The following is a 23,953-nucleotide window of genomic DNA, read 5'->3' as shown; positions in this document are numbered from 1 at the left end:
GGAATATCCAATGCTCATACCCAAGTGACCCTGAAACTAAGGTGCCATTTACACTCCTTAAGGTCACACAACATCAGAGGGAGAGCTGGGATTGCAGCCAAGTTTATTTGTACAGGGCCCTGTGATAGGCTAGTTCCCAAAAGCCTGTGATGCAAGAACTTTTGCCCATAGACTCAGTCACCATGTAGCTGTTACCTGTTCAGAGCTGGCTTTTTGCTTTCCCACCCTACTCTGGAATTCTTAAATGGCTTTATACTTAGAAATCATCTTATTTCTGTTGAACCTAGATCACCCCAACCAGAAACTTCTATTAATACTTTGTGCTTTCTTGATACCAGGGTCTATTTGGTTTCCACTTAAGGTTTTTGCATACTCTGCCCATAAGTGACTCATTAGTTACTCAAGTTTTATTCCTGGCTCTGCCACTAGTTCATTAGGGGTCTTTGCCCCAGAGTCATTTCTTCCATTTTAAAAACTTGGGCTCATTAAATCTAGGTAGGAAAGGGCGGGTGTGGCAGGTTTTAATAGAACAGGTCAAGATAAGGCTTTATTTCTATAGAAATGATGCTTTGACAATAGTTTGGCTTGGTGTAAGGCTCACAAAAGAAAATCACATGTACCATGTGTGGGTTAAGCGGTTTGATTCACACTGAACCAGGCCAGCCCAGTTGCCCTCTGCTGTGTCCACCCGTGGAGTGGAGCTGTGTCACAGCCATCACACTGGTAAACTGCTGTAGCTGGTTTACCAGGCTTTCTCTTGCCCTGACAGTACAGGTGAAGCCTGTAAATAAATCTTCTGCTATCTTTGTGAACTTAACCAAATCCCAGTTACCTTATTTAAATGGCAATAGATCTGTTTTCCCTTAAACTAGAAACCTTAATTACCTGTATTCCTACCTCCAGCTCAACCCATATATTTGCACCTTTCCAGTAAGCAGGTTTGTATTTCCATCTCTCCCCTTCCCCTAAGATTCTGAATTAGTTCTCCAGACCTTGCCAAGCACATTCTCCCTGGAAAGCAAGGAATATCACAGACCCACAAGAAGAGTAAATGCCCAGGAGTGAATGAAGCGGCTTGTCCTTGACTTGGAAATAAAAGCAAAGCTGTGAAAAGCCAGGTCGCTACGATTTTGTTGGCAGCAGGACTAGCCACAGAGTAGGGAAGTTTTGGGGCCAGGCCCTAGGTTTTCCCAGAATGCCTTGGGTGATGCCACCAAGAACCTTAAGAACTCCCTCTTACATTTTCCATCGGTTGCAGGCATGGCTTTTGCAACTGATAGGTGCTCTGACTACAGATATTCTGGTGTCCATGGCAACATGGCCTTATGGCTTGTAATAGTGGGAACTTCCAGCTCACTGGCAATTTCCTGGAGGTGGCAATATCTTTGGCAGGAAACCATCTCTTCTGTCTTGGCCACCAGGGTCTGCTCCAGGCCCTGAATGAGTCCACATCAATCCATCCTTCTTCCCTGTAGTCATTCCCTCCTGGGGAGGGAAGGGAAGGGGGGTATTTATCAGACCTATTTGCTCGCTGCTGTGTCTACTCATGGGCAGGTGTGTCCGATGGTGCCTTGGCAGTGGACCTTAGGTCTGAATGCCAGCCCGGCACCCTGGGCATCGGAAGTCGGCCTCCCTGGCAGCCTGGATGCTGCAGCCAACACAGGCCACATGGAACCAGACGTCACAGCCATCACACTGAACCCAGGCCACTGTCTCTTCCTGGGGCAGGCAGCAACAAGGAGCTGCACAGGGCTCCCCGCCCCCAACTGCAGGGGGAGCCATGGGAGCGCTCACTGGGTACTTCCGAGGACGGCCACGTCGATTTCTGAAGGAAGTGACACAGACACAAGGGTCACCGGAAACCTGTAGGAGAAGGCCTAGACCTTGCCACCCTATGGCTGGTCATAGGGTGAGGCCACAGAGGCACAGTGGTCTGAGAACTAAGGTGAGCCTGGACTCTGTCCTTAAAAACACATAGGGTGGGCCTAAAAACCTCTAGTATGAGCCTGAAAGTTCCCCATCCTTAGGCACTAGAAGAATGGGGTTAAAGCCATATGAATGTAAAAAGCAGGACATGCTCACTCCGGTTGTTTTATAAGCACTGCCCCACCCCACCTCTCATGTTCTCCTGCACATATTTTTCTTTTCCTATCAGAGCTAACCCAGGTCTTGCCATTCCATCTATTCCACCTCCCGTGCCCATCCCCCCAGGCAGGGGGACCTCCTCACAGCCTAGGGATACAAGGAATCGAAAAGCAGTAAAACACTGAGAGGGCCAAGTGAGGACTCCACTTACCCAGTGGGAGTCAGTGGGGCTTTGTCTACACGGAGTTTCTTCCTGGGCTCCATAAGGACCGGTGGCGGGTTCTCAGGAGGCTCACTCTCATCATCCAGTTCCGCCAACACTCGGTGAACAGATTTCCTCCGATTGCGTTGTGGTGGAGCAGAAGGCGTGGTCCCCATTTCCCCAGGTGGGGCGGGAACAGGCAGGCTCTTTGGTCCACCCCAACTAGGGGAGAAGGTGAGGGGCTGGGGCCGGAGCTTGCTGAGGCTGCCTATGGAGTTTAGGATCAGTGTGGCCTTGGGGGCAGGGGAGAAGGTGCTGAGAGGCCGCTGTGGAGCCCCCTGGGAGGGCAGCATAGGCCGGAAACCAGCCCCAACCCGGGCTTCTCCCCTAGACCGTGGGATGGTAATGGCAGCAAAGTCCTGAGGCTTGACTCGTACTTGTTGGAACATGAAGTAGAACTCCGAGGGGCTGGTTCCTGGGGGCCCTTCAGGGCCAAAGGTCAGGAGGTCTCCATCACTCAATTCCAGCCTGTGACCTCTTGGGAGTCGGACATTATTGACCAAAGTACCTGTTGATGGTGGGGCACCAGGCAAATATGGAGGACAAAAACAGAAATGACCAGAGTCAGGAGTGGAGAAATCTGTATGATTTCTGGGGAAGAATATGAAACTGTAGTCAGATTCTCCCTCACATCCTAAGCCCCTCAGCAGGTGACAGGTACCAGGCAGTACACTCCTTGTCAGCTAGGAACAAGTCTGTGTTTCTTGTGCTTTCCTACAAAGGATCCCTGCCCTCACTGTCCTAAGGTCCAATTTTCTTTCTTTCTTCTTTTTTTTTCTTTCTTTCTTTTTTTTTTTTTTTGAGATGGAGTTTTGCTCTATTGCCCAAGCTGGAGTGCAGTAGTGCAATCTCAGCTCACTGCACTCCGCCTCCCAGGTTCAAGCAATTCTCCTGCCTCAGCCTCCTGAGTAGCTGGGATTACAGGCATGTGCCACCACGTCTGGCTAATTTTTTTATTTTTAGCAGAGACAGGGTTTTACCATGTTGGCCAGGCTGGTCTCATACTCCTGACCTCCTGATCTGCCCGCCTCAGCCTCCCAAAGTGCTGGGATTACAGGCGTGAGCCACCGTGCCCCGCCCTAAGGTCCAGTTTTCAAACATGCTCACTCTCCCCCAGCTCCAGCTCGTTCAGATCCTAGCTCTACCACTTACCAGTTATGTGACCCTGGGCAAGCTTTTTGTTTGTTTGTTTGTTTGAGATGGAGTCTCGCTCTGTCGCCCAAGCTGGAGTGCAGTGGTGCGATCTCAGCTCACTGCAACCTCCGCCTCCCGGGTTCAAGTGATTCTGCTGCTTCAGCCTCCTGAGTAGCTGGGGTTACAGGTGCACGCCACCACACCTGGCTAATTTTTGTATTTTTTTTTCAGCACAGATGGGGTTTCAACATGTTGGTCAGGATGGTCTCGAACTCCTGACCTCGTGATCTGCCCATCTCGGCCTCCCAAAGTGCTGGGATTACAGGCGTGAGCCACCGTGCCCAGGCTTTTTTAAAAAAATTAATTAATTTTTTGGTAGAGACAGGTTTTCACCATGTTGCCCAGGCTGGTCTCGAACTCCTGAGCTCAAGTGATCCACCCTGCCTTAGCCTCCCAAAGTGCTGGATTATAGGTGTAAACCACCATGCCCAGCCCTGGACAAGTTCCTTAACCTCTTTGTGCCTCATTTTCCTTTACTGTAAATGAGGATAATATTAGTACCACCTACATTCAATACACTTAAAATAGGGCCTGGCTCATAACAGTAAGCACTAGATGAATGTTGGCTACTATAGTCTAATAACCATAACACTCCTACAGCTGACTTTACCAAGAGGCAGTGGCAAAACTCAAATGTGAATCTAGGCTTTCTGAGGCTAACTGCCTCAAGTCACGGAGAAAGACATGCCCAGATTATTAAAAACATTATTCAACATAGAACTGCCCTAACCCAGGAACAGAGTGCCTCAGCAAAGCTGGAAACTGAATCAAGTCTAAACTTGGCCTCTAGTGGCCTCAGAACATCCCCACTGTGATATCTTTCTGATGATATCCCAGGTCCTGTATGAGCTAAACGGGACCAAAAAGGGTCAGTCTGGCAGAGAGCTTCTGACTGTGCACACTTCTGGTGGGAAGATGAAGGTCTGGACCACGACCATCCATCCAATCTGATGGGAGTATGGGAGGCAGGCAGCAGGGTCTTGTGGAGACCTTACTCATTCCAGCCTGGCGCTTCAACCACCCAGGGGCAAAGCTGCCCTGCTTAATGCTCACCTTGGCTGCTGTGGTCTTCCAGGCTGACCCTCCAGTCATCACCCCGGGGCTCGGCATGCAGTTCGGCGTGGATCCCAGAGATGAGGCCAGGCTCCTGCTGGGGCCGCAGGGCCACATCACACAGGTCGGCCCTGTGGCCCAAGCGATAGGTGCAGCCAGCCCCGGCGGGGGGGTGGAAGGTGTAGAGATCACCGCCCCTGCCGCCCCCTATGCGCAGCAGTTGGAAGCAGGGCAGCATGGGCGGTGCCCCCTCTGCACCACCTCTTCCACTTCAGGCATCCATTTCCTTTCCCACTCCTGGGCCACGCACCGCTGGCTTAAGTTCGCTTCCCAGTCTGATGCAAACTTGAGTTGTGCTGTATGCGGTTTCAACTTTGAGCACACTACCTGAATAGCCCAAATTCAGAGTGCAAGCAGCCTAGGACTCAATGCAAAATTGGTTAAGCCGACTTGCAAATGAAAAATTCCAGGAAGGTCTCCGTGCAATGCAAACTCAGGAACACGTCCTATGGCACCTCACTTGAGCTGGATCCTCAGATCGCAAAATATTTGGGGAGCCTCCAATCTGCAAGGCAAGGATACTTTAGGCAGCTCCTGTGTGTGTCGGGGTGGCGGGGCGCGGGGAAGGAGGTCCTGTTATACACACGTCTACGTGCAATACGAACACATCACCTCTGTGTAATTCGGAGAAGAGTAGCTTCTTCCTGTCAAACTTGCTTATCCTAATAGAGCACTCCTGCTTGCCTGCGCCCCGATCTTCTGGCCAATCCCTCACTCATAACTGGTTGAACCTCCGAGGGCAATGAATCCACTGTCATCCCCCAAAAGAAAGTGCAAACGAGTCCTTAAGTACTCCAACAAATTGGACCTAAACCCCTACTTCCCGGCTTCTCTAGGTGGGATAAAAACAGGAAGGAGCTCCCCGCGATCATGCAAGGCATACCCGGCCTTTTCCCACTCCGCCCCAGCCCCGTTTCGGATCTACCCGCGCGGCGCAGTCTCCGAGTAGCCTCCTCTTCAAGCAGTGCCAGCCTGTGCGGCGGATCCCGGGACCCCTTGGGCTCCTCGGCAGGAGCCGACGTTGCTGCATCTGTTTGACAGCCAAGAAGCCGGGGCCAGGAGGGGCGCGGCCTCTGCGCGCGGGCAGCGCCTACCCCTCCTTCGGAATTCCCGGGCCCGAACTTCGCGCCGAGCGAGCCCGCCCCCGTGCCGTTCCCGATTGGCCAGCTCATGTGTTCTCTTCCGCGCCATTGGACAGCGCCCCAAGATCTCCCGCCTTCCACTTTTTCTGATTAGTTCACAAGTTTTCCCGGGTTGCCGCAGTGAGGAGGAGCCGCCTGGGCGCGGAGATGCTCCGACGCATTTAGTGGGCCCAAATTTAGACGCCACTGCGCCTGCGTACACCTTTCCCCCTCCTCCCAACAGAGTGAAATAGGACTTTAGGGCGCCCGCCTTGCGCAGGCGCGGTCAGGGGCAGAGGCGGGGCCGGGAGCGAGGCGTAGGGGGTGTGGCCAAAGCGCAGTAGGGGGCTCTCGCGGTTGGTAAGGGACGTTCGGGAAGAGTCGGTTGGGGGCGGGAAGGGGCTGAGCGGGGGTCCTGGGAGGGTTCAAGGGGTCCAAAGGGGAAGGGGGTACAGGGGCCAGGTGAAGGGACAGATGAAGAGATCAGAACAGCCTTAGAGCTCACGGGCTAACTGGGTGAAGCCTCGGGTATCTAGGGGAGCAGTGGTGGGAGAGTAGAGCCGGCTAGCGTACAGGGGGCGAGGGCAGGCTATTGAGAGATGGGGGTGAGGGTCAGGACCAGAATAATTCCTTCAGAAAAAGGTAGATTAGGTTGTAAAAAGGGACGGGAGTAGGGATCCCAGATTCGGGTAAAAAATAGATTAATGAGGGTGGGAGGGTGGGAGGAAGATCTTAAAGTGCCCACTATGTGTTAGGACTCGAGAAAGAGGAGGCGGGCAGCAGGCATGGAAGCTAAGGGGATAGTAGAGAGAAGCTGAGAGAACAGCCGCAGGAAAGATTTGAATAAGATGTCAGGACGCTGGCTTTTCTGCCTGGGGATCTAGGCGGCCTGGATTCCCAAGGTCTTGGGGAGGGTCTAGCCCTGCATGTGGCCACATTCAGCTGGGGCCAGGCCTTGGGCCAGCACTTTAACAGGGAAGGACCCAAGAGTCATGGCCTGCTGGTGTCTGGATGGGCTTCCCTCAGGCCTTGCTGAGCCATGGAGAGAACTCTGGAGATGGCGCTCAAGACCCCTGCACTGTGTACCTCCTTTCTCACCTCTGGCCAGGAGCAGCAGGGACCATAGAAACTTAAGGAGGAGGGTAGAGGCACTGCCCAGAATCCTGAAAGTATGAGTAAAGCCTCAGAGCCCCTCTCAGTCTGTCTCTTTCAGTAAATTCTCTCCACTTGATAGTTGCTTGGGTTCCATGAGGAACCAGGTTGAGACAAGCAAGTGAATTTGGGGTATCTCCTACTTTGGGGAAGTAGGAAAAGAGCTAAGCATCGGGTGGACCTGGCTATAATTCAAGGATTATGACTTTGTTATTGTAGGGGCTTTCTCTTTGGAAGGTGGCCTGAAAATTGAATTGGAGTGTCTTTGTTTCTCCTCTTGTCCAGGGGAACATAGATGGCTGGAGACAGAATCTAGAGCCTTCAAATAATGTGGAGATGTTTCCACCTTCAGGTCAGTGGGACCAGACAAGGGGAGTGGTGGTTGTCTCTGCCTGGGAAACTGACCATCTTTGTTTTTGTAATTCTTCAGGTTCCACTGGGCTGATTCCCCCCTCCCACTTTCAAGCTCGGCCCCTTTCAACTCTGCCAAGAATGGCTCCCACCTGGCTCTCAGACATTCCCCTGGTCCAACCCCCAGGCCATCAAGATGTCTCAGAGAGGCGGCTAGACACCCAGAGACCTCAAGTGACCATGTGGGAACGGGATGTTTCCAGTGACAGGCAGGAGCCAGGGCGGAGAGGCAGGTAGGGATCCATCCACGCCGTTTTCTCAGGCTTGCTTGCTAGTGACCCTTCCTCACTGGAATAAACTCCTTACCCTATTTCGGCCCTAGTTTCCAGAACGTACTCATTTTTATGTAAGCAATTAGTTCCTACAGTGCATAAATAATAAAGCAGTGTGCTAAGTGCTAGGGATGAGGATAACAATAGTGAATAAGACAAATCCTGACTTAAATTTGTAATTAATAAGGAATCTAAAATCCTAAGAGGGGAGATAGATTGACCACCAGCTGATGGTAAAGCATGGTATGAGGCAAGATGAAGAAGTGCAAACTAGAGGTAGAGACCCAGCACTGTGGCAGTGTGGGTTCATTCTGATGGAAGAAAGCCTTTACAGAGGACATGCTGTGGGAGCTGGCCATGCTGTCGTATTATCTGTAAACATTCTTATTCTTGTTTCATGTGTCTTTTCCCAGATGTACTGGGATATCATTCTGCCATTTTGCTCCAGAATAGGATTACATTAGAAGAAGCAGCATGATGAAGAAGGAATACTAGACTGGGTGTCAGGAGACAGAGACTCTATTTCTAGTTTGGCTACCAGCTAGAGGACATTTGGCAAGTCACTTAATTTCCCTAGCCTACAGATCGCTGCTACTAAAGAAAGAAAGAAAGAGCGAGCCAGATATGGCGGCTCACACCTATAATCCTAGCACTTTGGGAGCTGAGGCAGGAGGATCACTTGAGCCCAGGAGTTCATGACCAGCGTGGGCAACAAAGCGAGACTCCGTCTCCACAGAAAATAATTAGCTGGCTGTGGTGGCATGCATTTGTAGTCCTAGCTACTCAGGAGGCTAAGGTGGTAGGACCCCTTGAGCTCAGAAGTTGAAGACTGCAGTGACCTATGATCCAGCCACTGCATTGAGGCCTGGGTGACACAGTGATACCCTGTCTCTAAAAACGACAACAACAACAATCTCTTATAGTCCTGGGTCTCAGAGAGCTGCCTCAGGAGCCATGTTCCAAGCTGGATTAAACTTCACGTGACATTGGTAGACGATTTCTCTAAAGGCTGGCACTGTGTTATTTATGTACTGTTCTCTCAGACTCCTCATAAAGTATACCTAACACTCAATAAATGCCTTTTTTTTGAGATGGAGTCTCACTCTGTCGCCCAGGCTGGAGTGCACTGGGGAGATCTTGGCTCACTGCAAGCTCTGCCTCCCAGGTTGACGCCATTCTCCTGCCTCAGCCTCCCAAGCAGCTGGGACTACAGGCACCTGCCACCATGCCCAGCTAGTTTTTTATATTTTTAGTAGAGATGGGGTTTCACCGTGTTAACCAGGATGATCTCGATCTCCTGACCTCGTGATCCGCCCGCCTCGGCCTCCCAAAGTGCTGGGATTACAGGCATGAGCCACCGCGCCCAGCCAATAAATGCCTTTTAACTAGCACCTGGCCTCACCATATTGATACTGGAAGCTTACGACCTCTCTATGCCCATTCCTCCCTCAAACTTCTTGCCCTTAAATTAGAATTGAGAAGTCCCTGTGTGTTCTTCCAACCTTTCCACTTAAAATGTGTGGCCTAAAAATAAAAAAATAAATAAGACAAAAAAACCACCAAAAAACAAAAAGAATGTGTGGCCTAATGATATACACATTTGATGTTGAATCCTCCTGTATGTAGCTCTCTCTAGGGAGATCATGTTCCACGATCTCAGCCAGACTTTAGGTCCTGTGAGTCCAGGCACTGGACTCAACATGCTCAATAGGGCTTTGATGAATGATGATGATGTCAATGCAGACATCCCCATACCCCAGCTTCAGCACCCCCTTCACCTCCCCACACGGAAGCAGAGGGGTCCTCTTTTCCTTCTCCTGGCTATGTTTATGCCCTCAACTATCCTTCCAGCACTGGAGACAAGTCTCACCTGCACTAACCTGTCTTTGAAGGTCCTGGGGGCTGGAGGGGTCACAGGCCCTGAGCCAGCAGGCTGAGGTGATCGTTCGGCAGCTGCAAGAGCTGCGGCGGCTGGAGGAGGAGGTCCGGCTCCTGCGGGAGACCTCGCTGCAGCAGAAGATGAGGCTAGAGGCCCAGGCCATGGAGCTAGAGGCTCTGGCACGGGCGGAGAAGGCCGGCCGAGCTGAGGCTGAGGGCCTGCGTGCTGCTTTGGCTGGGGCTGAGGTTGTCCGGAAGAACTTGGAAGAGGGGAGCCAGCGGGAGCTGGAAGAGGTTCAGAGGCTGCACCAAGAGCAGGTGAATGCAGGGGTAGAAAGGATTCAAATTCATAACGGAGAGCTGGGCAGTAGCTTCCAAGCAAAGAACAGGTATTGCAGAAAAGACCCTCCATGAGTAGTGAGTAGTAGAGTGATGAGACCTTTGGTGAAAATAAACACACATGGCCTAGAAAGATGGAGAATTTGGGTACTTTTATCTTAATTCAGGTTGCACTTTTCCCCCAAGACTCAGGTGGCCTCCCACCACTTGAAGCCCTGCTTCCCTTTCTAGTAGGAAATAGTTTGCCTCCCTACTTTACTCCAGGTACCAATTCATCAGGGGTATTGTGGAGGGCAGTGAGGAAGGTGGGTATAAGGGGGCTATGGTGGACTGGGAGAGAGAGATTATTCAGTCCTCAAACTCAGTACTTACTCTTTGCCATCTCTAAGACTCAGTGACCAAATTAGCCTGAGTCCTGCCTTCGTGGATGGAACTGACAGCCTCGTGGGGGATATACACATCCACATTTAATTTAATCATAATTAATTGCAATCAGGAGGAATGCCTTGAAGGAGAAGGACTAGAAAGCACTAACTTAGTCTGGGGTTCAGGGAAGGCCACTGTAACCAGTTGACATGTCAAGGAAAGAAACCATAGCCCTGGGCGCAGTGGCTCACGCCTGTAATCCCAGCATTTTGGGAGGCCGAAGCAGGCAGATCACAAGGTCAGGAGTTCAAGACCAGCCTGGCCAACATGGCGAAACCCTGTCTCTACTAAAAATACAAAAATTCACCAGGCGTGGTGGTGCGCACCTGTAATCCCAGCTACTTGGGAGGCCGAGGCAGGAGAATCACTTGAACCTGGGCAGTGGAGGTTGCAGTGAGCCGAGACTGTGCCATTGCACTCCAGCCTGGGCGACAGAGCAAGACTCTGTCTCAAAAAATAAAATAAAAAAGGAACTGGGAGAAAACAAGGGAGAATTCCTTTATAACCTTGTAGTGGGCAAGGCCTTTCTACCTGTGAGTCAAAATCCAAAATCTAGAAGCCATAAAGGAAAAAATTGATCCATTGACTTTATAACATGAACATTAGGAATAGCCAAAAAGAAAAAAAAAAGCTATATTTATAGCTCAGATCACAAGAAAAGGGTAATATCCCTAATATAAAATGTGTGCCTAGAAATTGGTAAGGGAAAGACCAGCAATCCAATCAGAAAATGGACAAAGGAGATTTATGAAAGAAACTTAGAAACAAGAAGCTAGGCCAGGCACAGTGGCTCATGCCTGTAATCCCAGCACTTTGGGAGGCCGAGGTGGGCGGATCACTTGAGGCCAGGAGTTAAAGACCAACCTGGCCAACATGAAGAACTCTACAAAAAAATACAAAAATTAGCCGGGTATAGTCGTGGGCGCCTGTAATCCCCCAGCTTCTTGGGAGGCTGAGGCAGGAGAATTGCTTGAACCTGGGAGACAGAGGTTACAGTGAGCTGACATCACACTCCAGCCTGGGCAGCAGAGCGAGACTAAAAAAACAACAAGCTACCGTTTGTGCTGAATAGGAGTTGGCCAGTGAAGAGGCGTGTGAAGTCCAGTGGTAGCTGGAAGACACTTGGTGGGACAACAGGTGAAGGCGGGGACAGGAGGCCAGAAGGCTGGGGCACAGAGATGAGGGGCACTGAGTGTGCTGCAGAGCCCAGGGCCCAGGGCACAAGGCTTTGGCCACTTCAGAACTTGCTACTTTCCCATAAGAGCAATGAGCAGGCTGGGCACAGTGGCTCATACCTGTAATCCTAGCACTTTGGGAGGCCAAGGTGGAAGGATCATTTGAGCCCAGGAGTTTGAGACCAGCCTGGGCAACAAAGCGAGACCCCCATCTCTATTTTATGGAAGAAATTAGGGCTGGGCATGGTTGCTCACATGTGTAATCCTAGCACTTTGGGAAGCTGAGGCGGGTGGATCACTTGAGGTCAGGAGTTCGAGACCAGCCTGGCCAACATGGTAAAACCTCATCTCTACTAAAAATACAAAAATTAGCTGGGCGTGGTGGCTCATGCCTGTAATCTCAGCTACTCAGGAGGGTGAGGCAGGAGAATCGCTTGAACCTGGGAGGCAGCGTTTGCAGTGAGCTGAGATCGTGCCATTGCACTCCAGTCTAGGCAACAAAGTGAAACTCCATCTCCAAAAAAACAAACAAAAAAAAATTGTTTTTTCAAGTAATAAGCAACCGTTGAAAGGTTGTTTTTTTTTTTTTTTTGAGATGGAGTCTCGCTCTGTCGCCCAGGCTGGAGTGCAGTGGCGCGATCTTGGCTCACTGCCAGCTCCGCCTCCCGGGTTCAAGTCATTCTTCCGAGTAGCTGGGACTACAGGCGCCCGCCACCACGCCCAGCTAATTTTTTGTATTTTAATAGAGACGGGGTTTCACCATGTTAGCCAGGATGATCTCGATCTCCTGACCTTGTGATCCACCCACCTCGGCCTCCCAAAGTGCTGGAATTACAGGAATGAGCCACTGCGCCCGGCCTGTTGAAAGGTTTTAAGCAGGGAAATAACATGATTAGATTTGTATTTTATGTCTAAAAAATTTTGTCATTTATGTCCCCCAAATTAATTTTATTGTTGTATGGAGACAGGGCTAGAGGAGGCAGACCAGGAAGCAGGGTGGGCACTTTGCCCTCCTTTCCAGTCCATCCCATGACTCTTGGTGGCTCTGACACCCCTGCAACCCTTTGAGGTGCCATGAGCAAAAGACACAAAATTCCTCCTTTCCTGGAGCTTTCCTTCCAGTGTGGTCCGACAGATAGTAACACATACACATAAGCAAGATATGGTCAGTGCTAAGTGCTCAGGAGGACGTGAACAGCTGATGGGGCAGAGTAGGGTGGGGAGGGACGGTATTAGAGGGCCCAGTGAAGCCACCCTGAGGAGGGGCTATCGCCTGGGGTCTGTGGAGCAAGGAGGGGCCGCTGTCTGGTTCTCAGCAGACTCCCCGTGGCCGGAGCGGGGAGCAGTGGGAGAGCCTCCAGGGTGAGCTCAGGAGGTAGGCAGAGGCCGGGTCCCCTGGCCTGCAGGTGTGGAGAGACACCTGGGTTTTGTTGTGAATGCTGTGAGAAGCCACTGAGGGTTTGTAAAGACTAGTTAGGAGATGGTCGCTGTTGCCCAGGCAAAAGATGAGGGTTGGTGGCAGTGGAGACGGAGACAGAGAGGTGAAGATATGTTTTGGGGGAGATCGGACAAGAACTCCTGATGGGTTGTGGGGCAGCTGCGGAGAGTGAGTTGCCAGCTCTCCATTTGCTGTGCACAGTTGGCTGATTGGTTGGGTCATTCTCTAAGGTCACAGAAAGTGGGAGTGAAGGGAACAAGGAAGGCCTCCATGTGGGGTCGAGCCTCTGCTGAGCCCCCTCTTCTTTCCGCAGCTGTCCTCTTTGACACAGGCTCACGAGGAGGCTCTTTCCAGTTTGACCAGCAAGGCTGAGGGCTTGGAGAAGTCTCTGAGTAGTCTGGAAACCAGAAGAGCAGGGGAAGCCAAGGAGCTGGCCGAGGCTCAGAGGGAGGCCGAGCTGCTTCGGAAGCAGCTGAGGTAGGTGGGCGGACGCCGACGGGAGCCCAGCAATTAGTGATGTGGTGGATCTGCAGGGCGCCCCACTGATGGCTGTCCCATTCCCACCCCAACCCTAGCAAGACCCAGGAAGACTTGGAGGCTCAGGTGACCCTGGTTGAGAATCTAAGAAAATATGTTGGGGAACAAGTGCCTTCTGAGGTCCACAGCCAGACATGGGAACTGGAGCGACAGAAGCTTCTGGAAACCATGCAGGTGAGGGTGCAGGAATGTATCTGTGTGCAGACTTAGGGATCAGGTTGGGAGGCAAGCGTGGCCCTTGGAGGAGCGTGTAGAGCACAGCCTCCGGGAGAGAAGGTGGTACCTAAGGCGGCATGGAGGCCCTACAGAGGGGCTGCTTTCCTCTGCCCGCAGCACTTGCAGGAGGACCGGGACAGCCTGCATGCCACCGCGGAGCTGCTGCAGGTGCGGGTGCAGAGCCTCACACACATCCTCGCCCTGCAGGAGGAGGAGCTGACCAGGAAGGTACAGCCCAACCCCCAGACCCCTCACCCTCAGCCGCATCCTGCATCTACTGTCCCCTGCCTCCCTCCCTGTGGGCAGGAGGGGTCAATGTGCCCCAGAACCTGCTTAGATCTCCTTCCTGTGAACTCCTCTTGCTGTAGCTCATGTTGCCCAGGCAGGACAGAGGAGAAACAAAGATGCCACCTCCTTCCTCTCCTCCCCCAGGAGCCCACACTTTTCTCCCACTCCTTCTCCCTCAGGTTCAACCTTCAGATTCCCTGGAGCCTGAGTTTACCAGGAAGTGCCAGTCCCTGCTGAACCGCTGGCGGGAGAAGGTGTTTGCCCTCATGGTGCAGCTAAAGGCCCAGGAGCTGGAACACAGTGACTCTGTTAAGCAGCTGAAGGGACAGGTCACTGCACTCTCTTTTCTCCCGGTATTCCCTCCCAGCACCTTGCTCCTTCCATGAAGGTGGCATCCATTCAACCAGTGTTTATTGAGTGGTTGCCACATGCTGGGCACACAGCCCTGAACAAAACTAAAATGTGGAGCTTGCATTCTAGAACAGAGACACAGAACACGCAAGTAAACAGATAATGTTGGGTAATTATATGTGCGATAGAAAGATTGAAGCCAGGTGCAGTGGCTCACACCTATAATGCGATCACTTTGGTCTTGAACTCCTGACCTCAGGTGATTCACCTGCCTCAGCCTCCCAAAGTGATGGGATTACAGGTGTGAGCCACCGTGCCCAGTCAAGTAATGCCAACAGTTTGGGAGACCGAGGCAGGTGGATCACTGGAGGTCAGGAGTTCGAGACCAGCCTGGGCAACATGTGAAATCCCGTCTCTACTAAAAATACAAAAAATTAGCCGGTCATAGTGGCTCATTCCTGTAGTCCCAGCTACTCTGGAGGATGAGGTGGGAGGATCACCTGAGGCTGGGAGGTCGAGGCGAGGCCACAGTGAACTGTGATCCCATCACTGCACTCTAGCCTGGGTGACAAAGCGAGATCTTTTCTCAAAAAAAAAGAAAGTAGTAAGAAAAATTCAAAAGATAATGTGACGGAGAGACTGTGGGGTGAGTCAGCCTCAGGTAGGATGCTCAGAGACAGCCTCTCTGAGGAGGTGACAGCATCTGAGGAGAGTGGCATGGTCAGTTGGTGGGTCTTGTGGGGTGGGTCAAGGGCTATTCCCATCTTTGAGTGGGCACATGGAATGTGGAACATGGAACACTGGGCTCAGATTCCATCCTCAGAACCTAAGCTTCTGTCTCCCTGCGTGGCATTCATTCTTTTTCTTTTCTTTTTTTTTTTTTTTTTTTTTTGAGAAGGAGTCTTGTTCTTGTCACCAGGCTGGAGTGCAGTGGCCTGATCTCAGCTCACTGCAACCTCCGCCTCCCAGGTTCAAGTGATTCTCCTGCCTCAGCCTCCCGAGTAGCTGGGATTACAGGCACATGCCATCACGCTCAGCTAATTTTTGTATTTTTAGTAGAGACAGGCTTTCACCATGTTGGTCAGGCTGATCTTGAACCCCTGACCTCAAGTGATCCATCTGCCTCGGCCTCCCAAAGTGCTGGGATTACAGGTGTGAGCCACCGTGCTGCAACCCACCCCCGTCGCCCGCCCCCCCTCCCCCCAGCCCCTGCATGGCATTCTTACAGAGATCTCTGCACCTGCCACTTTGCTTCCAGTGCCCCCCTCATCTTTTAGCTCTAGAGGGCCCTGCCTAGCTCTCTCTCCTCCCCCAGGTGGCCTCACTCCAGGAAAAAGTGACATCCCAGAGCCAGGAGCAGGCCATCCTGCAGCGATCCCTGCAGGACAAAGCCGCAGAGGTGGAGGTGGAGCGTATGGGTGCCAAGGTTGGTGTCAGCCTACTAGAGACTCGGGGAGGGCAAGGGAGCCCCTGTTCCGGGGCTGCAGCCAGGACTTAGGGAGGGACCCTGTCCTTTGCTGCATCCTCCCCAGGGCCTGCAGTTGGAGCTGAGCCGTGCTCAGGAGGCCAGGCGTCGGTGGCAGCAGCAGACAGCCTCAGCCGAGGAGCAGCTGAGGCTTGTGGTCAATGCTGTCAGCAGGTATCAGGGATGGAGGGGTGGGTGGAGTAGTGTTTCTGCCACCTCAGGTTCCTGGGCACCTTGTTGCTGAGGATCCTCAGGCAAGAGGGGCTGGAAAGTGGCCACTGGAGGCTACAGGGCTGGGCAGATTTAGCTCTATCAATGTTCCTGTGTTCGTTTCTTTTCCTGGGGAAGCCCCTTCTGCATTCATACCTGATTGCTTGTTATGAATTTCCCGTTGCATGTTTGGCTGGAGGTGAGGCCTTGCTTCCTCCTGCAGTTCAGTCTAGTAATGGCTTGAGCTAAATAGAGCACCCGGGAGGATCTTTACTTGCAGTATTGTTCAAGGATGGAGAGTGTAGACACTTCATCTTCCTTTTTTTTTCTAAAATTTTACGGGCAATCCGTTTCACTGGAGAAAAATTTAGTCTATTTATTTATTTATTTTGAGACAAAGTCTCGCTCTGTCACCCAGGCTGGAGTGCAATGGCGCAATCTTGGCTCACTGCAACCTCACCTCCCTGGTTCAAGTGATTCTCCTGCCTCAGCCTCCCGAGTAGCTGGATTACAGGCATCCTCCACCAGTGTCCTCCACTACACCCGGCTAATTTTTGCATTTTTAGTAGGGACGGGGTTTCACCATGTTGGCCAGGCTGGTCTTGAACTCCTGACCTCAGGTGATCCACCCACCTCAGCCTCCCAAAGTGCTGGAATTATAGGTGTGAGCCACTGCACCTGGCCTAGTCTATTTATTTAAAGCTATATACTTACTTGCTTATTATATACTTAACTTGCTTACTATTCCATCTAAAATGTAAGCCAGTTAGTTTCCTTCTAAATCAATTGCCAGCCTTTGTCTCTCCTACCAACTTCCTAGTTGTTTCATTACCTACAATTGTTGTATGACCTTCAGAAAAACCTCTAAGAAAACAGCAAAGCTTCTTTGTGCTGGTGATGACTTCCCCTCAGCCTTAGACACTGAGGTACCCAAGGCAGGTAGTTCTTTTTTTTTTTTTTTTTTTTTTTGAGACAGAGTCTCGCACTGTCACCCAGGCTGGAGTGCAATGGCACGATCTCAGCTCACTGCAACCTCTGCCTCCCGGGTTCACACGATTTTCCTGCCTCAGCCTCCTGAGTAGCTGGGATTACAGGTGCACACCACCACACCCGGCTACTTTTTTGTATTTTTAGTAGAGACAGGGTTTCACTGTGTTGGCCAGGCTGGTCTCAAACTTCTGACCTCGTGATCCGCCCGCCTCGGCCTCCCAAAGTGCTGGGATTACAGGCTTGAGCCACCGTGCCTGGCCGGCAGGTAGTTCTTAGCACAGTCTCTGGCTTGTAAATGTTTATTGTTATCGTGAGGCTCTTCTTGATGGGTTAATTTAGATAAAGATAATTTTTGGTTTAGCGAAATTAAGATGCAGGATGAGTCCTTGCCCATCACTTCCTTCTCTTGGATTTGTACCTTAGGGACTAATTTAGCTTTAAAAATTATGAAAAATTTCAAACTTGCACGGAATTAAACTAGTTATAATGACCTACCACCCAGGTTCAATCCATCGCGGGTGCCCCCTACCTCCAGGAGAACAGAAAGATGCACTGTGGACAGGGTTTGACTTTGGTACCAGGCGATCACAGAAATGGTCTGTGTAATGATGCATTTGCCGAAAGTCCTCCAGGCTTAAAGCAGTCCAAACTCTGATTGTTGCTGGGTTTATTAGATTGTCTCTAGGTAATTGGAGACTTTAATAAGGGCTGTGGTAGGTGTTGGAAGCATCTACTGGAACAATTTCCAGATCAAAGTGAACTTTGCTGTGCTGCTGGGGATGCAGCTGCAAGCCTTCATCATCATGTGTTTTTCTGTGGGTGCAGACCTGGACTCTCCTGAGGAAACCCCAGCCCGGCCCCAGACACTCCTTGGCCTCCTCCTGGGGCCTGTTTAAGCTGCTCAGTTTTCATGAGCCAGGTTGGTCCTACTTCTGGCACAGCCAGCTGGTAAAGCATGTGGACCTGCCCGTCATTGGTGCTAGATCGACACTCCTGGGCTTGGAGAGGATAACTTTGTTTTCTTTTGTTTTTTTGAGATGGAGTCTCGCTCTGTCACCCAGTCTTGAGGGCAGGGGTGCGATCTTGGCTCACTGGAACCTCCACCTCCTAGGTTCAAGTGATTCTCGTGCCTCAGCTTCTGGAGTAGCTGGGATTACAGGCATGAGCCACCATGCCCGGCTAATTTTTGTGTTTTTAAGTAGAGAGAGTTTCACCATGTTGGCCAGGCTAGTCTCCAATTCCTGACTTCAGGTGATCCGCCCGCCTCGGCCTCCCAAAGTGCTGGGATTACAGGCAGGAGCCACTGCCCCTGATCAGAGAGGATAACTTTACTCTTTGATACACGATAGTGAGCAAAACACAGTTGTGAGAAATAAGCTTAACAGGTTGCTTAAAAAGATAGTCATTTAATGCATTCTTGGGGCAAGGGTCCTTTAGATAATTGACGGAAGCTGTGCGTTCTGTACTTGTATAATGGGACAGGATTAGAGGGAGTTGTCTATACAAGGCACAGCAAGTCCTTTGGGAATGAGGGGAGGCATGGAGGATCAGTGACTTGTGCCCTCTCCAGCTCTCAGATCTGGCTCGAGACCACCATGGCTAAGGTGGAAGGGGCTGCCGCCCAGCTTCCCAGCCTCAACAACCGACTCAGCTATGCTGTCCGCAAGGTCCACACCATTCGGGGTGCGTAGGACAACTGCGAGCCACGTCCTGCCCCCACCCCACCAGCTCGGACTTTCTTCTTCCTGACCCAGCTCTCTCTGATCCCACATCCATTCACCTTCCTCCTTTCACCAGTCCTTGCATCTCTTTTTCCCTTACTCCCTGTCCCCACTTTCTCCCATGCAAACTTCATCTCTTTTTCTCCCTGCTTTTTCCCCTCCAGGCCTGATTGCTCGAAAGCTTGCCCTTGCTCAGCTGCGCCAGGAGAGGTGAAGTTTGGGCACTTTGAGGTGGATGGGGCTTTAGGGCATTGGCTGCTGGGACCCCCAAAACCATGAGGACTGAGGTGGGATGGGGGCTTTGGGATCAGGCAGCTGGGTGATTTCTTCTGACTCTTTCTCTTCCCCGTCCCAGCTGTCCCCTACCACCACCGGTCACAGACGTGAGCCTTGAGTTGCAGCAGTTGCGGGAAGAACGGAACCGCCTGGATGCAGAACTGCAGCTGAGTGCCCGCCTCATCCAGCAGGAGGTGGGCCGGGCTCGGGAGCAAGGTACACCTGGTTGCCAGGGGGTGGAGAGGATGAGGAAAAACCCGGTGTCTAGGGTGCTGGGAGAGGCCTGACCCAGCACCCCCTCCTTTTAGGGGAGGCAGAGCGGCAGCAGCTGAGCAAGGTGGCCCAGCAGCTGGAGCAGGAGCTGCAGCAGACCCAGGAGTCCCTGGCTAGCTTGGGGCTGCAGCTGGAGGTAGCACGCCAGGGCCAGCAGGAGAGCACAGAGGAGGCTGCCAGTCTGCGGCAGGAGCTGACCCAGCAGCAGGAACTCTACGGGCAAGGTGTCGAGAGGGAAATGGGTGCTTCCCTTGGAGGGTGGGGTGGGAACTGCGAATCAAAGCTCCTGCTGATATGCCCCGTCTGCACTTTCACCCCAGCCCTGCAAGAAAAGGTGGCTGAAGTGGAAACTCGGCTGCGGGAGCAACTCTCAGACACAGAGAGGAGGCTGAACGAGGCTCGGAGGGAGCATGCCAAGGCCGGTGAGCCTTGCCAGGGTGGATAGGGCCTTCCAGGAAGAAGGAAGTGTTAAGACATAAGGTTATTATTTTCCCCTCAAAGTGTGTTCAAAGCTTCATTACAGGAAGTAATGAAGGTATCCAGGAGTAGCACAGATGAATTATCACATCGTGAACACACCCATGTAGCCAGCACCAGATTAAGAAACAGCATATGGCCGGTCGCGGTGGCTTATGCCTGTAATCCAAGCACTTTGGGAGGCCGAGGTGGGTGTATCACCTGAGGTCAGGAGTTTGAGGCCAGCCTGGACAACATGGCGAAACCCTGTCTCGACTAAAAATACAAAAATTAGCTAGGCCTGGTGGTGGGCACCTGTACCCCAAGCTTACTTGTGAGGCTGATGTGGGAAGACTACATGAACCCGGGAGGTCGAGGCTGCAGTGAGCCAAGATTGTGCCACTGCACTCAAGCCTGGGTGATAGAGAAAGACCATGTGTCAAAAAAAGAATTGTGTAATGAATGTATCTTCTCTAACTAAATATAGCAGTTAACATTTGCCACATTTGGTCTCTTATCTATATACACACATATTTGTACATCTTTTGAATCACTTTAAGTTGTAATCATTTAATGTTTTGTTGTTGTTGTTGTTTGAGACAGAGTCTTCCTCTGTCACCAGCTGGAGTGCAGTGGCATGATCTTGGCTCACTGTGACCTCTGCCTCCCGGGTTCAAGCCATTCTCCTGGCTCAGCCTCCCAAGTAGCTGGGATTACAGGCGCCCACCACCATGCCCAGCTAGTTTTTGTATTTGCAGTAGAGACGGGATTACACCATGTTGGCCAGGATGGTCTCGAGCTCCTAACCTCGTGATCCGCCCGCCTTGGCATCCCAAAGTGCTGGGATTATAGGCGTGAGCCACCACGCCTAAGTAAGTTGTAAACATAAGTTGTTCAGCCGCATCTCCCAAAGCCAGTAAATTCTCCTATATAGCTGCAATCATCACACTTTAAGACAGTGAACACTAATTGCACAAAATCTAACCCAGTTCATGTTCAGATTTCCCCTGAGGAACTCCAGGATGGTTCAGGGATGAGGAAGATACTTAGGTTCAGATTCCCAGGCTCCTAGAGCATCAGCCCACCCCTCCAACTGTACAGAAGAGACAGATCCACAGAGCAGAACAGCCTCCCCAAGCCACAGAGTTGGTGACCCAGCGTTTGTTCCTGTCTTCATGGTGCCTGGCTGCCTCTGGCCTGACTCACACCTGCCTCCTCTGTGCCTTGGCCTCTCTGTAGTGGTCTCCTTACGCCAGATTCAGCGCAGAGCCGCCCAGGAAAAGGAGCGGAGCCAGGAACTCAGGCGTCTGCAGGAGGAGGCCCGGAAGGAGGAGGGGCAGCGACTGGCCCGGCGCTTGCAGGAGCTAGAGAGGGATAAGAACCTCATGCTGGTAGGAGACAGGAGGGCAGACAGGCAGACACTAGGGCCCATCCTGGGCTGGTTCCTGGGCTAGAGGTGTGGAAAGAGGATGGTGAGGGAGGCTCTATCCGGGCTAGGTTTAACCCTCTCCTTCCCAGGCCACCTTGCAGCAGGAAGGTCTCCTCTCCCGTTACAAGCAGCAGCGACTGTTGACAGTTCTTCCTTCCCTACTGGATAAGAAGAAATCTGTGGTGTCCAGCCCCAGGCCTCCAGAGTGTTCAGCATCTGCACCTGTAGCAGCAGCAGTGCCCACCAGGGAGTCCATAAAAGGTCTTGGGCCAAGCACAAAGGGACAAGGGACAAATGCGCGCACTTCAGGAATCTCCTCTTCAGACTCTCGCATGATGAGTGTTGTTCTCTGCGGTCCTTCGAGGCCCTTAGCCTCTTTTAGCGATGCCCAGCTTGGACCAAAGAGCCTCCTCTCTCCCATTCCTCATTTCCTGTGCCAGCCCTGTTTCCTCTGTAACCACGAGCACCTTCCCTTGTCTGGTGCTCATCTGCTGTCTTCCTTCCCAGGGTCCCTCTCTGTCCTGCTCGATGACCTGCAGGACCTGAGTGAAGCCATTTCCAAAGAGGAAGCTGTTTGTCAAGGAGACAACCTTGACAGATGCTCCAGCTCCAATCCCCAGATGAGCAGCTAAGCAGCTGACAGTTGGAGGGAAAGCCAGCCTGGGGGCTGGGAGGATCCTGGAGAAGTGGGTGGGGACAGACCAGCCCTTCCCCATCCTGGGGTTGCCCTGGGGGATACCAGCTGAGTCTGAATTCTGCTCTAAATAAAGACGACTACAGAAGGAGCCATTGTTTGGAAATGTTATTTCTGGGAATCTGTGGGAATTCTCCCTGCAGCCATCTCTCTTGGAGATTGTGAGAAGTGGTCCCACCCATAGCTCTCTCTATGGGTGGCACCTTTTCAAATCCTTTTTCTAGGCAGCTTTGGAAATGTTTGGGAAGCTCCTGCTTTTCTTTATTCTCAACTTTTGTTTTAAAACTCTTTTCTTCTGGAAGATGATAAATGCTAGGAGTGGGGAAGATGAAACATTCACTCGTTCAACAGGAATGTCAGAGCTAGGCACTGTATTAGCCTGGGGGCCACTTGGACCCTGAGAGCCTACATCCTAGTGGGAGAGCGAGCGAGCAGATGGGACCTAAACAGATGAACGAGATCGTTTCAAATAAGTGCTTGAAGAGAAAGTACAGTACGATGATATGATAGAAACTGACTCTGGGGAGAGGCCTCTGAGCAGGGGACCTTGTGCAGAGGCCTGCCTGAAGTGGGCTCCTGTGGAGGCCAGGAGGTCTCTGTAGAGAATGCTCAAGGATGCTGCTGCGAGGCCGAGATGTGGCCAAGTTTGGATTTTACTGTAAGTCAATAGAAAGCCATTGGAGTACTTCTTTAAAAACGGGGAAGAAAGCCAGGTGTGGTGGCTCACGCCTGTAATCCTGACACTTTGGGAGGCTGAGGCACGCGGATCACCTGAGCTCAGGAGTTTGAGACCAGCCTGGGCAACATGGTGAAACTTCGTCTCTACTAAAATACAAAAAATTAGCCAGGTGTGGTGGTGTGAGCCTGTAGTCCCAGCTACTCAGGAGGCTGACACAGGAGAATTGCTTGGACACGGGAGGTGGAGGTTGCAGTGAGCCGTGATCATGCCACTGCACTCCAGCCTGGGTGACAGAGCGAGACTCAGCCTCAAAAAAAGAAGAAGAATTAAAAAAAAAAAAAAAAAAACAGGGAAGGGGGCCCGGTGTTGTGGCTCCTGCCTGTAATCCCAGCACTTTTTTTTTTTGAGACAGTTTTGCTCTTGTTGCCAGGCTGGAGTGCAGTGGCACAATCTCAGCTCACTGCAACCTCCACCTCCCAGGTTCAAGCAATTCTCCTGCCTCAGCCTCCGGAGTAGCTGAATCCCAGCACTTTTTTGGGAGGCCGAGGTGAGCGGATCGCTTGAGCCCAGGAGTTTGAGACCAGCCAACATAGGGAGACTCCATCTATATAAAAAATAAAAATAAAAAACATTGGAGGGCATGGTGGCGTGCACCCATGGTCCTAGTTACTCCAGAGGCTGAGTTGGGAGGATTGTTTGAGCCCAAGAGGTTGAGGCTGCAATGAGCTGTGATCGCACCACTGCACCCCAGCCTAAGAGAGCGAGAACCTGTCCTCACTCCCCAAACAAAGGGAAGACGCAACATGATTTGGTGTACATTTTTTTTCCTGAGGGACTTACTGGATGGTCCCTTCCAGAGTGAGGTACACATATCCACGCACTGTGGTCAGCGATTGCTCCCGGCACCCAGCGCAGCAGATGGGTGGGTCTAACCAGGTCACTTCCCCAGGAGGGCATAATTGAGCAGTTTCCGCATCAGGTCCACGTGGGCCAGCAGCATGCGGCAGGCAGCGGCTGTGGCGCTTCAGGCCCAGGGCGTCCCCATCAGCGTACTTGGACTGCAGCAGCCCCAGGTAGGCCTCCCACGTGTTGCCCACAGTCTTGCTGCAGGTGAAGCAGCGCACACAACTCCTGAGCTCAAGCGGTCCTCCTGTGTCAGCTTCCCAAAGTGCTGGCATGAGCCACTACGCCTGGCCTGATATATATATATATATATATATGTTTTTTTTTTTTGAGACGGAATTTCACTCGTTGCCCAGGCTGGAGTGCAATGGTGTGATCTCAGCTCACCACAACCTCTGCCTCCTGGGTTCAAGCGATTCTCCTGCCTCAGCCTCTTGAGTAGCTGGGATTACAGGCATGTGCCACCATGTCCGGCTAATATTTTTGTATTTTTAGTAGAGACGGGGTTTCTCCATGTTGGTCAGGCTGGTCTTGAACTCCCGACCTCAGGTGATCCGCCCGCTTCGGCCTCCCAAAGTGCTGGGATTACAGGCGCGAGC

General features: G+C 51.9%; 2 protein-coding genes and 1 pseudogene across 38 annotated transcripts, besides 6 other annotated features; 1 reads left to right on the top strand and 2 right to left on the bottom strand.

Moving 5' to 3' along the window:
• Nucleotides 1–86: 86 nt before the first annotated feature.
• On the bottom strand, nucleotides 87–5,713 carry TCF19 (transcription factor 19). Of its 13 annotated transcripts, NM_001438635.1 has the most exons (6): nucleotides 5,580–5,713; nucleotides 5,267–5,405; nucleotides 4,595–5,159; nucleotides 2,725–2,855; nucleotides 2,297–2,555; nucleotides 87–1,825 (listed from the first exon to the last, which is right to left on the bottom strand). In NM_001438635.1, the coding sequence occupies exons 3-5, from the start codon at nucleotides 4,830–4,832 to the stop codon at nucleotides 2,322–2,324; spliced, it is 603 nt and encodes a 200-aa protein (NP_001425564.1). In that variant the 5' UTR covers nucleotides 4,833–5,159; nucleotides 5,267–5,405; nucleotides 5,580–5,713; the 3' UTR covers nucleotides 87–1,825; nucleotides 2,297–2,321. The 13 variants fall into 13 exon arrangements, 12 of the variants coding, with proteins under 12 accessions (NP_001425564.1, NP_001425565.1, NP_001305837.1 ...); NR_199382.1 differs by having other exon boundaries at nucleotides 2,297–2,509; nucleotides 4,595–5,405; NM_001438636.1 differs by having other exon boundaries at nucleotides 4,595–5,405.
• Nucleotides 1,143–2,126: an enhancer, noted in NCBI's record as "OCT4-H3K4me1 hESC enhancer chr6:31129953-31130936 (GRCh37/hg19 assembly coordinates)". NCBI's record gives its function as "activates a minimal SCP1, AML or CMV promoter by ChIP-STARR-seq in primed H9 embryonic stem cells {active_cell/tissue: H9 hESC(primed)}" and the evidence as "EXISTENCE:reporter gene assay evidence [ECO:0000049][PMID:30033119]".
• Nucleotides 2,127–3,110: an enhancer, noted in NCBI's record as "OCT4-H3K4me1 hESC enhancer chr6:31128969-31129952 (GRCh37/hg19 assembly coordinates)". NCBI's record gives its function as "activates a minimal SCP1, AML or CMV promoter by ChIP-STARR-seq in naive and primed H9 embryonic stem cells {active_cell/tissue: H9 hESC(naive and primed)}" and the evidence as "EXISTENCE:reporter gene assay evidence [ECO:0000049][PMID:30033119]".
• Nucleotides 4,851–5,034: a silencer, noted in NCBI's record as "fragment chr6:31127045-31127228 (GRCh37/hg19 assembly coordinates)". NCBI's record gives its function as "represses an EF-1alpha promoter that drives an FKBP-Casp9 reporter gene in an ReSE screen in K562 erythroleukemia cells {active_cell/tissue: K562}" and the evidence as "EXISTENCE:reporter gene assay evidence [ECO:0000049][PMID:32094911]".
• CCHCR1 (coiled-coil alpha-helical rod protein 1) lies at nucleotides 6,105–21,863 on the top strand. 25 transcript variants are annotated; one of them, XM_047418911.1, is made up of 19 exons: nucleotides 6,105–6,135; nucleotides 6,802–6,917; nucleotides 7,213–7,279; nucleotides 7,466–7,571; nucleotides 9,503–9,806; nucleotides 13,180–13,343; nucleotides 13,442–13,577; nucleotides 13,737–13,847; nucleotides 14,087–14,236; nucleotides 15,574–15,684; nucleotides 15,791–15,897; nucleotides 18,494–18,606; nucleotides 18,809–18,854; nucleotides 19,000–19,136; nucleotides 19,229–19,417; nucleotides 19,514–19,615; nucleotides 20,889–21,040; nucleotides 21,168–21,339; nucleotides 21,586–21,863. In XM_047418911.1, the coding sequence occupies exons 3-19, from the start codon at nucleotides 7,264–7,266 to the stop codon at nucleotides 21,708–21,710; spliced, it is 2,241 nt and encodes a 746-aa protein (XP_047274867.1). In that variant the 5' UTR covers nucleotides 6,105–6,135; nucleotides 6,802–6,917; nucleotides 7,213–7,263; the 3' UTR covers nucleotides 21,711–21,863. The 25 variants fall into 25 exon arrangements, with proteins under 25 accessions (XP_047274867.1, NP_001381575.1, NP_001381571.1 ...); NM_001394646.1 differs by having other exon boundaries at nucleotides 7,358–7,571; nucleotides 15,800–15,897; NM_001394642.1 differs by having other exon boundaries at nucleotides 7,358–7,571.
• Nucleotides 6,258–6,758: an enhancer, noted in NCBI's record as "H3K4me1 hESC enhancer chr6:31125321-31125821 (GRCh37/hg19 assembly coordinates)". NCBI's record gives its function as "activates a minimal SCP1, AML or CMV promoter by ChIP-STARR-seq in primed H9 embryonic stem cells {active_cell/tissue: H9 hESC(primed)}" and the evidence as "EXISTENCE:reporter gene assay evidence [ECO:0000049][PMID:30033119]".
• Nucleotides 6,759–7,259: an enhancer, noted in NCBI's record as "H3K4me1 hESC enhancer chr6:31124820-31125320 (GRCh37/hg19 assembly coordinates)". NCBI's record gives its function as "activates a minimal SCP1, AML or CMV promoter by ChIP-STARR-seq in primed H9 embryonic stem cells {active_cell/tissue: H9 hESC(primed)}" and the evidence as "EXISTENCE:reporter gene assay evidence [ECO:0000049][PMID:30033119]".
• Nucleotides 7,993–8,608: an enhancer, noted in NCBI's record as "OCT4 hESC enhancer chr6:31123471-31124086 (GRCh37/hg19 assembly coordinates)". NCBI's record gives its function as "activates a minimal SCP1, AML or CMV promoter by ChIP-STARR-seq in primed H9 embryonic stem cells {active_cell/tissue: H9 hESC(primed)}" and the evidence as "EXISTENCE:reporter gene assay evidence [ECO:0000049][PMID:30033119]".
• Nucleotides 23,389–23,575, bottom strand: POLR2LP1 (RNA polymerase II subunit L pseudogene 1; annotated as a pseudogene).

This window comes from Homo sapiens, chromosome 6 (genome assembly GCF_000001405.40).
Source record: "Homo sapiens chromosome 6, GRCh38.p14 Primary Assembly".
Lineage (NCBI taxonomy): Eukaryota > Metazoa > Chordata > Mammalia > Primates > Hominidae > Homo > Homo sapiens.
This window is presented reverse-complemented; position numbering and strand designations above follow the sequence as displayed.